Genomic DNA, 14,226 nt, shown 5'->3' with positions numbered 1-14,226 from the left:
TCCCTAGGATATCATGAATAATATCACAGGGTGTACACCCAGTGAGATATTAGGAGTAATATCTTCCTAGGATATTACAAATAATGTTAAAGGGTGTACACCTCTGTGATATTAGTAGTAATGTCTCCCTAGGATATTACGAATAATATTACGGGGTGTATAGCCCCTGTGATATGAGGAGCAACACTTCTATAGGATATTACAGAGTCAAGCCAAGATGGCCGAATAGGAACAGCTCTGGTCTACAGCTCCCAGCATGAGCGACACAGAAGATGGGTGATTTCTGCATTTCCATCTGAGGTACCAGGTTCACCTCACTAGGGAGTGCCAGACAGTGGGCACAGGTCAGTGGGTGCAGTGCACCATGTGCGAGCTGAAGCAGGGCGAGGCACTGCCTCACTTGGGAAGCGCAAAGGGTCAGGGAGTTCCCTTTTCTAGTCAAAGAAAGGGGTGACAGATGGCACCTGGAAAATCGGGTCACTCCCACCCTAATACTGCGCTTTTCCGACAGGCTTAAAAAACGATGCACAAGGAGATTATATCCCGCACCTGGCTCGGAGGGTCCTATGCCCATGGAGTCTCGCTGATTGCTAGCACAGCAGTCTGAGATCAAACTGCAAGGTGGCAGTGAGGCTGGGGGAGGGGCGCCCACCATTGCCCGGGCTTGCTTAGGTAAACAAAGCAGCTGGGAAGCTCGAGCTGGGTGGAGCCCACCACAGCTCAAGGAGGCCTGCCTGCCTCTGTAGGCTCCACCTCTGGGGGCAGGGCACAGACAAACAAAAAGACAGCAGTAACCTCTGCAGACTTAAATGTCCCTGTCTGACAGCTTTGAAGAGAGCAGTGGTTCTCCCAGCACGCAGCTGGAGATCTGAGGACGGGCAGACTGCCTCCTCAAGTGGGTCCCTGACCCCTGACACCCGAGCAGCCTAACTGGGAGGCACCCCCCAGTAGGGGCAGACTGACACCTCACACGGCCAAGTACTCCTCTGAGACAAAACTTCCAGAGGAACGATCAGACAGCAGCATTCGTGGTTCACGAAAATCCCCTGTTCTGCAGCCACCGCTGCTGGTACCCAGGCAAACAGGGTCTGCAGTGGACCTCTAGCAAACTCCAACAGACCTGCAGCTGAGGGTCCTGTCTCTTAGAAGGAAAACTAACAAACAGAAAGGACATCCACACCAAAAACCCATCTGTACATCACCATCATCAAAGACAAAAAGTAGATAAAACCACAAAGATGGGGAAAAAACAGAGCAGAAAAACTGGAAACTCTAAAAAGCAGAGCACCTCTCCTCCTCCAAAGGAACGCAGCTTCTCACCAGCAACGGAACAAAGCTGGACAGAGAATGACTTTGACGAGTTGAGAGAAGGCTTCAGACAATCAAACTATGAGCTACAGGAGGAAATTCAAACCAAAGGCAAAGAAGTTGAAAACTTTGAAAAAAATTTAGACGAATGTATAACTAGAATAACCAATACAGAGAAGTGCTTAAAGGAGCTGACGGAGCTGAAAGCCAAAGCTCGAGAACTACATGAAGAATGCAGAAGCCTCAGGAGCCGATGTGATCAACTTGAAGAAAGGATATCAGTGATGGAAGATGAAATGAATGAAATGAAGCGAGAAGGGAAGTTTAGAGAAAAAAGAATAAAAAGAAACGAACAAAGCCTCCAAGAAATATGGGACTATGTGAAAAGACCAAATCTACATCTGACTGGTGTACCTGAAAGTGACGGGGAGAATGGAACCAAGTTGGAAAATACTCTGCAGGTCATTATCCAGGACAACTTCCCAATATAGCAAGGCAGGCCAACATTCAGATTCAGGAAATACAGAGAACGCCACAAAGATACTCCTCGAGAAGAGCAACTCCAAGACACATAATTGTCAGATTCACCAAAGTTGAAATGAAGGAAAAAATGTTAAGGGCAGCCAGAGAGAAAGGTTGGGTTACCCACAAACGGAAGCCCATCAGACTAACAGCGGATCTCTCGGCAGAAACTCTACAAGCCAGAAGAGAGTGGGGGCCAATATTCAACACTCTTAAAGAAAAGAATTTTCAACCCAGAATTTCATATCCAGCCAAACTAAGCTTCATAAGTGAAGGAGAAATAAAATACTTTACAGACGAGCAAATGCCGAGAGATTCTGTCACCACCAAGCCTGCCCTAAAAGAGCTCCTGAAGGAAGCACTAAACATGGAAAGGCACAACCGGTACCAGCCGCTGCAAAATCATGCCAAATTGTAAAGACCATTGAGGCTAGGGAGAAACTGCATCAACTAACAAGCAAAATAACCAGCTAACATCATAATGACAGGATCAAATTCACACATAACAATATTAACTTTAAATGTAAATGGACTAAATGCTCCAATTAAAAGACACAGACTGGCAAATTGGATAAAGAGTCAAGACCCACCAGTGTGCTGTATTCAGGAAACCCATCTCATGTGCAGAGACACACACAGGCACAAAATAAAAGGATGGAGGAAGATCTACCAAGCAAATGGAAAACAAAAAAAGGCAGGGGTTGCAATCCTAGTCTCTGATAAAACAGACTTTAAACCAACAAAAATCAAAAGAGACAAAGAAGGCCATTACGTAATAGTAAAGGGATCAATTCAACAAGAAGAGCTAACTATCCTAAATATATATGCACCCAATACAGGAGCACCCAGATTCATAAAGCAAGTCCTGAGTGACCTACAAAGAGACTTAGACTCCCACACAATAATAATGGGAGACTTTAACACTCCACTGTCAACATTAGACAGATCAATGAGACAGAAAGTTAACAAGGATACCCAGGAATTGAACTCAGCTCTGCACCAAGTGGACCTAATAGACATCTACAGAACTCTCCACCCCAAATCAACAGAATATACATTTTTCTCAGCACCACACCACACCTATTCCAAAATTGGTCACATAGTTGGAAGTAAAGCTCTCCTCAGCAAATGTAAAAGATCAGACATTATTACAAACTGTCTCTCAGACCACAGTGCAATCAAACTAGAACTGAGGATTAAGAAACTCTCTCAAAACCACTCAACTACATGGAAACTGAACAACCTGCTCCTGAATGACTACTGGGTACATAACGAAATGAAGGCAGAAATAAAGTTGTTCTTTGAAACCAACGAGAACAAAGACACAACATACCAGAATCTCTGGGACACATTCAAAGCAGTGTGTAGAGGGAAATTTATAGCACTAAATGCCCACAAGAGAAAGCAGGAAAGATCCAAAATTGACACCCGAACATCACAATTAAAAGAACTAGAAAAGGAAGAGCAAACACATTCAAAAGCTAGCAGAAGGCAAGAAATAACTAAAATCAGAGCAGAATTGAAGGAAATAGAGACACAAAAATCCCTTCAAAAAATTAATGAATCCAGCAGCTGGTTTTTTGAAAGGATCAACAAAATTGATAGACTGCTAGCAAGACTAATAAAGAAGAAAAGAGAGAAGAATCAAATAGAGGCAATAAAAAATGATAAAGGAGATATCACCACAGATCCCACAGAAATACAAACTACCATCAGAGAATACTACAAACATCTCTACGCAAATAAACTAGAAAATCTGGAAGAAATGGATAAATTCCTCGATGCATACACCCTCCCAAGACTAAACCAGGAAGAAGTTGAATCTCTGTATAGACCAATAACAGGCTCTGAAATTGTGGCAATAATCAGTAGCTTACCAACGAAAATGAGTCCAGGACCAGATGGATTCACAGCCGAATTCTACCAGAGGTACAAGGAGGAACTGGTACCATTCCTTCTGAAACTATTCCAATCAATAGAAAAAGAGGGAATCCTCCCTAACTCATTTTATGAGGCCAGCATCATCCTGATACCAAAGCTGGGCAGAGACACAACCAAAAAAGAGAATTTTAGACCAATATCCTTGATGAACATCGATGCAAAAATCCTCAATAAAATACTGGCAAACCAAATCCAGCAGCACATCAAAAAGCTTATCCACCATGATCAAGTGGGCTTCATCCCTGGGATGCAAGGCTCGTTCAGTATACGCAAATCAATAAATGTAATCCAGCATATAAACAGAACCAAAGACAAAAATCACATGATTATCTCAATAGATGCAGAAAAGGCCTTTGACAAAATTCAACAATGCTTCATGCTAAAAACTCTCAATAAATTAGGTATTGATGGGACGTATCTCAAAATAATAAGAGCTATCTATGACAAACCCACAGCCAATATCATACTGAATGGGCAGAAATTGGAAGCATTCCCTTTGAAAACTGGCACAAGACAGGGATGCCCTCTCTCACCACTCCTATTCAACATAGTGTTGGAAGTTCTGGCCAGGGCAATTAGGCAGGAGAAGGAAATAAAGGGTATTCAATTAGGAAAAGAAGAAGTCAAATTGTCCCTGTTTGCAGATGACATGATTGTATATCTAGAAAACCCCATCGTCTCAGCGCAAAATCTCCTTAAGCTGATAAGCAACTTCAGCAAAGTCTCAGGATACAAAATCAATGTACAAAAATCACAAGCATTCTTATACACAAATAACAGACAAACAGAGAGCCAAATCATGAGTGAACTCATGAGTGAACTCCCATTCACAATTGCTTCAAAGAGAATAAAATACCTAGGAATCCAACTTACAAGGGACGTGAAGGACCTCTTCAAGGAGAACTACAAACCACTGCTCAAGGAAATAAAAGAGGATACAAACAAATGGAAGAACATTCCATGCTCATGGGTAGGAAGAATCAATATCGTGAAAATGGCCATACGGCCCAAGGTAATTTATAGATTCAATGCCATCCCCATCAAGCTACCAATGACTTTCTTCACAGAATTGGAAAAAACTACTTTAAAGTTCATATGGAACCAAAAAGATCCCGCATTGCCAAGTCAATCCTAAGCCAAAAGAACAAAGCTGGAGGCATCACCCTACCTGACTTCAAACTATACTACAAGGCTACAGTAACCAAAACAGCATGGTACTGGTACCAAAACAGAGATATAGATCAATGGAACAGAACAGAGCCCTCAGAAATAACGCCGCATATCTACAACTATCTGATCTTTGACAAACCTGACAAAAACAAGCAATGGGGAAAGGATTCCCTATTTAATAAATGGTGCTGGGAAAACTGGCTAGTCATATGTAGAAAGCTGAAACTGGATCCCTTCCTTACACCTTATACAAAAATCAATTCAAGATGGATTAAAGACTTAAACGTTAGACCTAAAACCATAAAAACCCTAGAAGAAAACCTAGGCATTACCATTCAGGACATAGGCATGGGCAAGGACTTCATGTCTAAAACACCAAAAGCAGTGGCAACAAAAGACAAAATTGACAAATGGGATCTAATTAAACTAAAGAGCTTCTGCACAGCAAAAGAAGCTACCATCAGAGTGAACAGGAAACCTACAAAATGGGAGAAAATTTTCACAACCTACTCATCTGACAAAGGGCTAATATCCGGAATCTACAAAGAACTCAAACAAATTTACAAGAAAAAAACAAACAACCCCATCAAAAAGTGGGCCAAGGACATGAACAGACACTTCTCAAAAGAAGACATTTATGCAGCCAAAAGACACATGAAAAAATGCTCACCATCACTGGCCATCAGAGAAATGCAAATCAAAACCACAATGAGATACCATCTCACACCAGTTAGAATGGCAATCATTAAAAAGTCAGGAAACAACAGGTGCTGGAGAGGATGTGGAGAAATAGGAACACTTTTACACTGTTGGTGGGACTGTAAACTAGTTCAACCATTGTGGAAGACAGTGTGGCGATTCCTCAGGGATCTAGAACTAGAAATACCATTTGACCCAGCCATCCCATTACTGGGTATGTACCCAAAGGACTATAAATCATGCTGCTATAAAGACACATACACAGGTATGTTTATTGTGGCACTATTCACAATAGCAAAGACTTGGAACCAATCCAAATGTCCAACAATGACAGACTAGATTAAGAAAATGTGGCACATATACATCATGGAATACTATGCAGCCATAAAAAATGATGAGTTCATGTCCTTTGTAGGGACATGGATAAAATTGGAAATCATCATTCTCAGTAAACTATCCCAAGAACAAAAAAGCAAACACTGCATATTCTCACTCATAGGTGGGAATTGAACAATGAGAACACATGGACACAGGAAGGGGAACATCACACTCTGGGGACTGTTGTGGGGTGGGGGGAGGGGGGAGGGATAGCTTTAGGAGATATACCTAATGCTAAATGATGAGTTAATGGGTGCAGCACACCAGCATGGCACATGTATACATATGTAACTAACCTGCACATTGTGCACATGTACCCTAAAACTTAAAGTATACTAATAATAAAATAAAATTTAAAAAAAAAAAGATAAAAAGACTGGGTTCCATCATAATTTCAGAGTTCAAAGGCCTCACCCCACTGTTCTTACTTTCCTCCATTTTGTTTTTTTATTTTATTTATTTTATTTTATTTTATTTTATTTTATTTTATTTTATTTTTATTTTTATTTTTATTTTTGACACAGGATCTCACTCTTTTGCCCAGAATGGAGTAAGTGCAGTGTTGTGATCTTGGCTCACTGCAATCTCCACCTCCCAGGCTCAAGCGATCCTCCCACCTCAGCCTCCCAAGTAGGTGGAACCACAGGCATACGGGGCCATGCCCGGCTAATTTTTGAAGTTTTTGTACAGACGGGATTTCACTATGTTGCCCAGGCTGAATGATTCCCCTTCTTCTAAACGGCAGAGCCCTCTTTTGGCTTTGACTTCTCTTCACCAAAGCCCCTTGCTCTGAATTCTTTTTTTTTTTTTTTTTTTTTTTTTTGAGACGGAGTCTCGCTCTGTCGCCCAGGCCGGACTGCAGTGGCGCGATCTCGGCTCACTGCAAGCTCCACCTCCCGGGTTCACGCCATTCTCCTGCCTCAGCCTCCCGAGTAGCTGGGACTACAGGCGCCCGCTACCACGCCCGGCTAATTTTTTGTATTTTTAGTAGAGACGGGGTTTCACCGTGTTAGCCAGGATGGTCTCGATCTCCTGACCTCGTGATCCGCCCGCCTCGGCCTCCCAAAATGCTGGGATTACAGGCGTGAGCCACCGCGCCCGGCCTGCTCTGAATTCTTGATGAAACCAATGTGACATTGCTTTGCTCCGTTAAAATGCATTAGAAAATGTGGAAACATGAAAAGATTTAAGCACCATTAAGCACACTGCTTTGTGATAATCTGATATGAACTTACCTCCTCGACTCTTCTGTGAACTCCATGAAAGCAGAACACTGTCTTTTCTGTCCTGGTGTCTCTGCTTCTAGCCAGGTCCTGGAACCTAGTTGGTATTCAGGAGGTGGTGGTTGAATTGAATTCGAAACTGTTGAGCCCTCTCGCTTCACAGTTGTGGGGGCATGAGGACTAGGCCAGGGTTGGCACACAGGTCTCATTCTACTCATTAGGGAGCCATCTGAAGTAGATGAAACACAGAGACAGCAAGTTCAAAGTCCTGGCTTTACACTAAATTAGGTTAGCTATTCTACATCTCGGACCGTCAGTCTCTTCATCTGTAAAATGAGATTAATCATACATTTTTTTTTATGATGCTTTTACAGATTAGGAATACTAAAGTAAAAGAAATAGGAACTGAATAAATTGTATGTATCATCCTTATTACCCTCTGCCTCCATGTTTGTGTCTGGTCACCAGATGTAGCCTCTTCATTCTTTTAGGGAAAGTAACTTGCCCCCATCCCCTGACGGGGCCTCCCAAACCTTCAGGCTGGTCAGGTCGAGACCCATGGTACTTGATCCCTGGAGGCAGAAAGTGACAGGAATCTGTGGCTCCAGTTCAGCTGTAACCAGTGTGGATCCTGCATTTAAACTCCCACACTCACCCCCGAGTTGTAGCCCTGGTTCTGGTCAATGGCTTGGCTTCCCACCCCAGTTCCAGCATCTTGGAATTAAGAGGCAGAAGGAAACACCGATTTTGTATTCCCTCCTTGCCCACGCTGCAAAGATCCTTGATACAAGGTCTCAAATTCTCTACAAAATACTTCCACTAACAGAATCACCTCCAGCCCATGTCTCTCTGCTCCCAGAGGTGGCCCCATCCCATTCCTGGACAGTCCTGGTTGTAAACAGGGTTTTCCTTTCATTATGAAAACCACCACCCTTGAAAGATCATCCACTGGTCCTAGTTCTGCATTTTTTTTTTTTTTTTTTTTAGTCAGGTTCACACTCTTGTCGCCCAGGCTGAAGTGCAGTGGCGTGATCACAGCTCACTGCAGTCTCGACCTCCCAGGCTCAAGCTATCCTCCCACCTCAGCCTCCAGATTAGCTGGGACTATAGGCACACTTCACTGCACCCAGCTAATTTTTCGATGTTGTGTTGAGACGAGGTCTCACTATGTGGCCCAGGCTGGTCTCAAACTCCTGAGCTCAAGCCATTCTCCCGCCTCAGCCTCCCAAAGTGTTGGTATTACAGGCGTGAGCCACCATGCCTGGCTCTAGTTTTGCTTTCTACAGCCACATAAAACATAACATTTCATCTCCTAAATGATACTACAAGTCTCTAAAAGATGGTGGTCATTCCTCCCCTGTTATCTCTTTGGCATATGGGATGGAAAATTACCACGTAAACTTCACAAAGACACGTTTTTCAGTTTTACCTACTATGCCTTGCATAGTAGGTGCTCAATAAATATTTGCCAAATGAACGAATAAATAAATGAACCCCTATTATGTGCTTGATAATTCACTGGTCACTTTATATTCATTATCTCTAGTTATCACAAGCTCTCTAGGAAGAAATTACTAGTCCCATTTTATAGATATTATTTTGCATTTAAAGTAGGATCTTCTCTTCTGTATTCATCTTTATTTCATCTGTAATGTCAATTCTCCTTTTAAAATTCAGATAAAAGCAAGTGCTTTTTCTTTAAAATCCTTTAATACATCCATTTTACTTCTAAAAAATTATTGGTACTCTTACTTATTAAATCGAGCCAATAGGCCCAGACGCTGACACTATGGTCATGGCGGAGGGGGCAGCGTGCTGAGGCGGAACGGGCTGGGCACAGGATTTTTATAATTGGCCTGACGAACACTTTGAAGAAATAGACAGTACACTAGCTGTTCAACAGTATATTCAACAGAACATAAGAGCAGATTGCTCCAATATTGACAAAATTCTTGAACCAGCTGAAGGCCAAGATGAAAGTTATGGAAGTATGAACATTTAAGGGAATTCTGTCTTGAGCTAAACGGACTTGTTGTCAAACTTCAGAGTGAATGCCATCCAGATACTTGCACTCAAATGACAGCAACTGAACAATGGATTTTTCTTTGTGCAGCTCATAAAGCTCTGAAAGAGTGTCCTGCTATAGCCTATACCAGACACATACTTGATGGTGCTGCATGTCTTCTGAAGAGCAATCAATGTTTTCCCAGCAGGGTTAGCATAAAGAAGTAATCCGTAGCAAAACTAGGATCACTATACCTTAGGAGTTACAGAATATTTTCACATGTTTATTTTCATCATTGGTAGATATTTGATGAATATGAAAAGGAAACATTTTTGTGTCATCGGATTACTAAATTTGTGATGAATTAGATGAAATATAATTTGATGTCCAGGGATAACCTCATTGTACCAATTTTAGAAGAGGAAGTACAGGTTTCAGTTTCTGGGGAAAGTGAAGCATGAAGGGAATCATGGAAAAATGTACAGATCACATAATTAACATTAATTATGTACTGTATATATCATTTTAGACACATCAATCATGTATCCATATTATAGCTTCTTCATTTAGTATAAGTTTTTGTATGCTGGGTTTGCCTTTTAAAATGGGAAATACTTTTTAAGTTATTCATAAGCTGTATATTCACCAGTGTGGCACTCATGGTTTTAGAATAAGATTAGTACTATCTGTTTATAATGCCTGTTAATAAAAGAATTTACAGTTGGGTAAAATTGCTGCTAAACAATCATTGGATCACAATCCTCATCAAACATACCCATCTATAAAAAAAATTGAGCGAGAGCTTGAGGTTTCACACAAGCCCTTTACTAAAGAGGTAGAAATGTTTTTCTTTGTTTCACCCTGAGTTTAGATATCCTCAAAAATTCTATAGTACATAGATTTGTCTTACCTGTTAACTTTCCTCAAATGAGATAAAGTGTTTTAAAATTCTGTTTATAGTTTTTGATATGCATATATAATTATGTGTATATCTAAATACAAACGCAAATAAAGCGTTAGTAATACTTAAATAATTTTACTGTGCTACATAAAGTATAACATACTTGGAAAGGATTTACCTTTCTGCAACAATGGACTGGTACATACAGGATGATGATAATGATAAGGCACATAAATGATGTTCCCACTGGAAACCTGCCCTGTCCACTCCTCATTTCCCTTAACCTTATCCTCAAACTACTTTAGCTGAGAAGCTTTTCATGAGACTGTGAGTTAGTGGTGGCTTATACTTATTTATATTTGTATTAATTGCTTACAGATTATACCTCATATTAGCAATTACATTATACTACAAGAAAATGTATTTGCATAGGCTCTTGCTTATCTTTGTTTTGCAAAATTGTCCTTCTTAGAAAACAGTCCTTAAAATTTTGACTCTTCCTGTTAGTAATTAATCTTTCATTTAACCAGCTAGGCAGCATTAAATAAAATTGAAGAAATACTGTAGTATTTATTTTACACCCCCTCCCCACAAAGTTTATGTTTGAATTACATGCACGTGGGAGATTATTTGCAATAATTCATAGGTTCCAAGGGTGTTGATGAATAGTTATACATTTTTTGGACTTTGTTATAATTCATTGTGGTAAGACTGATTCAAATGCAGATTTATCAATCTTATAATCTATTGAATGCCATTTTTGATAAAGCACTGGAGGTCTTATTGCCAAACTGATTGTAATGAGGCACTAAGGATGAAAACATTGTACATGTTGTGAAGAAAGTACTTAAATGCAACTTTTGAACAGATTTAACAAACATGAGGAACTTTTTATATTTAAAAGAGTTATTGTGAAATGAAGATGAAAATGTATTCATCTTAATTGTTTTTTCAAATTTAAGGGAATAATTTATACCATATTTTGAGACAAGAATGTACAGCAAAAGTGTGGGGAACAGTAGTATACTGAGAGAGTGTCTATACACAGTGTATGCCTTTCCAAACCTGCCAGTCTTTTTGGCTTTGAACAGTGCCCACCAGCCACAGTCATTACTGTTCCCCAACCCCCACTATCTCTTAAGAAGCCTTATGTTCACAGTGAAAGGAATGCTGACTTTGAAATTATGGGTTTATATTCATGTCACTATAAACCAATGGGAATGGTAATTTTTAAACAAACTTGCTAAATATTGAGAGACTAAACTAAGTTAATAAATTATATATAGCAGTGTAGGTGTTCTCTCTCTAAAAAAAAATGGAGCCAATAATTGGCTTTTTTCTTATTGAAAAAAGTTTTGAATTAATAATGCATCTTGCACTGCGTTTCTTGGTTCTGGTCTAATTGGTGCAGATGGCCTGGACCCAGAGTTCTGCAGAGTGTCAGGTCTGTGATGCTGTCTGGGTCTCTCGCTGGCTTTCTACAGAAACTCAAAGGTTTTTCTCGCTATTTGGATGATGCTTAAGTGTCTAGGCCAGCGAGTCATAGCCTTAGCTACCCAAAAGGAGCCAAGAAGTCTGGGTCTGACTGAGGCCTATGGAGTGCTGACTTGTTATATGGGTGAGAGCATGGGACTCCCGCCCAGCAGCATTCAGCATTCCTAATTGGCATTTTCAAGACACAGCATTGCCTGTAAGTCATCCTGTGCCACCAGATTACCTGGCACCACTCCAGTAGGATGTTAACAGAGGGAAGAAAGTAAGGAGTTGGCAAAGTTAAAAACAGCACAAAGAAAAAAAGAGAACAAACTTGAAAGAAGGATTTCACCACCATCATTAATGGCATGTATTGATTAACACTAAGCGTTTGTGCCACTTTGCACGTTGCTCACCCTCATTCAAAGACACTGTCTTTGGAAGCCCCTCTCTGCAAATGGGAGAAGGTGTGGAAAAGATCAAACTAAAAACAAATTCAAAGAAACCACGAGTTGCCGATGAGCATCTGGGAAATAGTCATAAGTTAAATAAACCACTAGGGGGCAATCCAAGAATGAGCAAAAGTCAGTCCAGTTGGCAAAGAAGATGCCTCGGGGAAAGATTTTTTTTAAGTACATTTTCCAACACATGAAGAAATCTGAGATCGTTTAGTCTGAATCTACAGAACAAGGTGATATTTCAAAATTTTGATTTATTTTTTCAAGTTACGTGTTGATTTAGAAAGGAAAGGTCTTTCTAAATGGTCGGAAACACTTACTAAATACAAATTGATCAGAATCATGTTATAAGGAAAAACAATGGTTGAAACAATAGTGTGTCTTAAAAATTTAGATTCCCACCCCAGGCACTCGAGAAACTTCTGAATGTTGGCCATTCAAAATAGATTTCAATTAATGATACATATGATGTGGCACAGCATAAAGGAAATCTGAAAATATTTGGTTAGCATGTATAAATGAATCAAATCACACATGATTTGTTTTATACTTGTACTGATGATACAAAGTTTTTAGGTATGTAATACAGCTTTGCAGATATGTGCACATATTTTTTTCTGGTGTATCTTCTCTGCAGGTAATTTGGTATGTGCTAATCAGTTGCTAACAAGGATCAAATCAACGATTAAGCCTCTTCATCAAGGATCAAACAACTCTTGTTCTGAATTTGCCTTCCCTGAGGCTCCTGACTCCCAATCTGGAGGCATGGTTAGTTGCTCCACTCACGGTAGTCTTATGGCACCTTGCTATTAGTAGAATAAGAGCATGAACTCCCAAGGCAGACTGCTAAGATATGAATCCCATTTCTAGCTGTGTGTTTTTGGCAAGTTACCTTGCTTCAATTAGCCCCTCTCTGACATGGATACAAAATCAATGCCTACTTCATAGGTTTGTAGTGGGAAGTGAATTAATTAATATATGTAAATCATTCATAAAAGTGTCTGGCACATTACAGGTACTCAATACATGCTTGTTGGTTTCATAAATGAATGATCTGATACTTGCCTGAACACAACGTAAATTCATTACAAGAACAAATTCATGAAGAAACTGCAGGATTCTTGGATGGATTTTCACTGGCTATAAAAAGTCAACTGGCCAGTGGCAAACAGGAGAGCTGAATAGTGATACTCTTGAAAAGAAACTCTAATTGGTGTTCAGGTCCACCAGACAAGGCTCTTTGTCTTACTTCTAGAATACGGTGACAATCCATGAGCCAGAAATAGAGGTATTTCAATAAAAGTATAGAGTTTTGTCTCAAAAATGCCAGCCAGCCATTTAGAAAAGTTCTATCTGCAGTCACAGAATTGCTCACTTTGTTTTTTGTCTTTTCAACCATAGCTATCTAAAGAGTTTAAAAATAGCCACATCATTAACTTAATTCTCTGGACAGATTGACACATTTCAAAAGAAAGAGTTTTTAAAACAGTATCTAAAAGGAACACCATATAAAAAGTTATAGGAAGTTCCAGAGTCAGGAAAAACATGATCCAAAATATACTATACATGAAATAGAAAGCATGAGGGAAACAGAAGCCCACAGTTAGAAGGCAATAAAAAAAATCACAAAAAAAGGCTTTCTTGCCCCTCAAAAACCATATTTTCAAGCAAAAATAGGCCATTTGAAAAAATATAGAATGGAAATAAATCTGATCGCAACTATAAATGTCCAGAGTTTTAGACTCAAGCATGATCATGTTTTATTCTTTCACAAAAGTGGGTCTTATAAATAATTAGATTTTCAAGTTAAACTTTTTCTGCAGATGAATCTTCATAGGATTTTACAATTTTCAAGACCTCAGACAAAGTGAAGAGAATTTGGGACACTAAACAGCTTGAAGAACAAAACAAAGCATAAAGAGGCTGATCGGTAAAGATATAATGAAGGAATTGAATGAATTCTTCCTGATATTATGTTATACTCAACCAACACATCTTTTCTGTGAAAGTAGAAAGACAAAGTGGTGGCATTTCTATTCCAACGCTGTGTTCAGCTGGTCTGGAAATCATCCTGGAGTAGTAAAACCTGTCACTTTAAAAAAACAGTGTCCTTATGTCCCAGAATGCCTTATCCACAGAGGATATTAG

General features: G+C 39.9%; 1 protein-coding gene and 1 pseudogene across 3 annotated transcripts in view, besides 1 other annotated feature; one reads left to right on the top strand and one right to left on the bottom strand.

Moving 5' to 3' along the window:
- PRSS23 (serine protease 23) overlaps positions 1-14,226 on the bottom strand; it is a 161,840-nt gene that overhangs the window by 122,064 nt on the left and 25,550 nt on the right. For all 3 annotated transcript variants that reach the window (NR_120591.3, NR_120592.2, NR_120593.2), the window contains exon 2: positions 7,254-7,470. The gene's annotated coding sequence lies outside the window, so the exon portion shown is untranslated. The remainder of the gene's footprint in view (positions 1-7,253; positions 7,471-14,226) is intronic.
- MOB4P2 (MOB4 pseudogene 2) lies at positions 9,014-9,904 on the top strand (annotated as a pseudogene).
- Positions 12,026-12,320: a silencer, noted in NCBI's record as "tiled region #1521; HepG2 Repressive non-DNase unmatched - State 12:CtcfO". NCBI's record gives its function as "represses a minimal TATA promoter and a strong SV40 promoter by Sharpr-MPRA in HepG2 cells {active_cell/tissue: HepG2}" and the evidence as "EXISTENCE:reporter gene assay evidence [ECO:0000049][PMID:27701403]".

Source organism: Homo sapiens, chromosome 11 (genome assembly GCF_000001405.40).
Source record: "Homo sapiens chromosome 11, GRCh38.p14 Primary Assembly".
In the NCBI taxonomy this organism is placed as follows: domain Eukaryota; kingdom Metazoa; phylum Chordata; class Mammalia; order Primates; family Hominidae; genus Homo; species Homo sapiens.
Note: the sequence above shows the minus strand (reverse complement) of the source record. Positions and strands in the feature narration are given on the sequence as shown.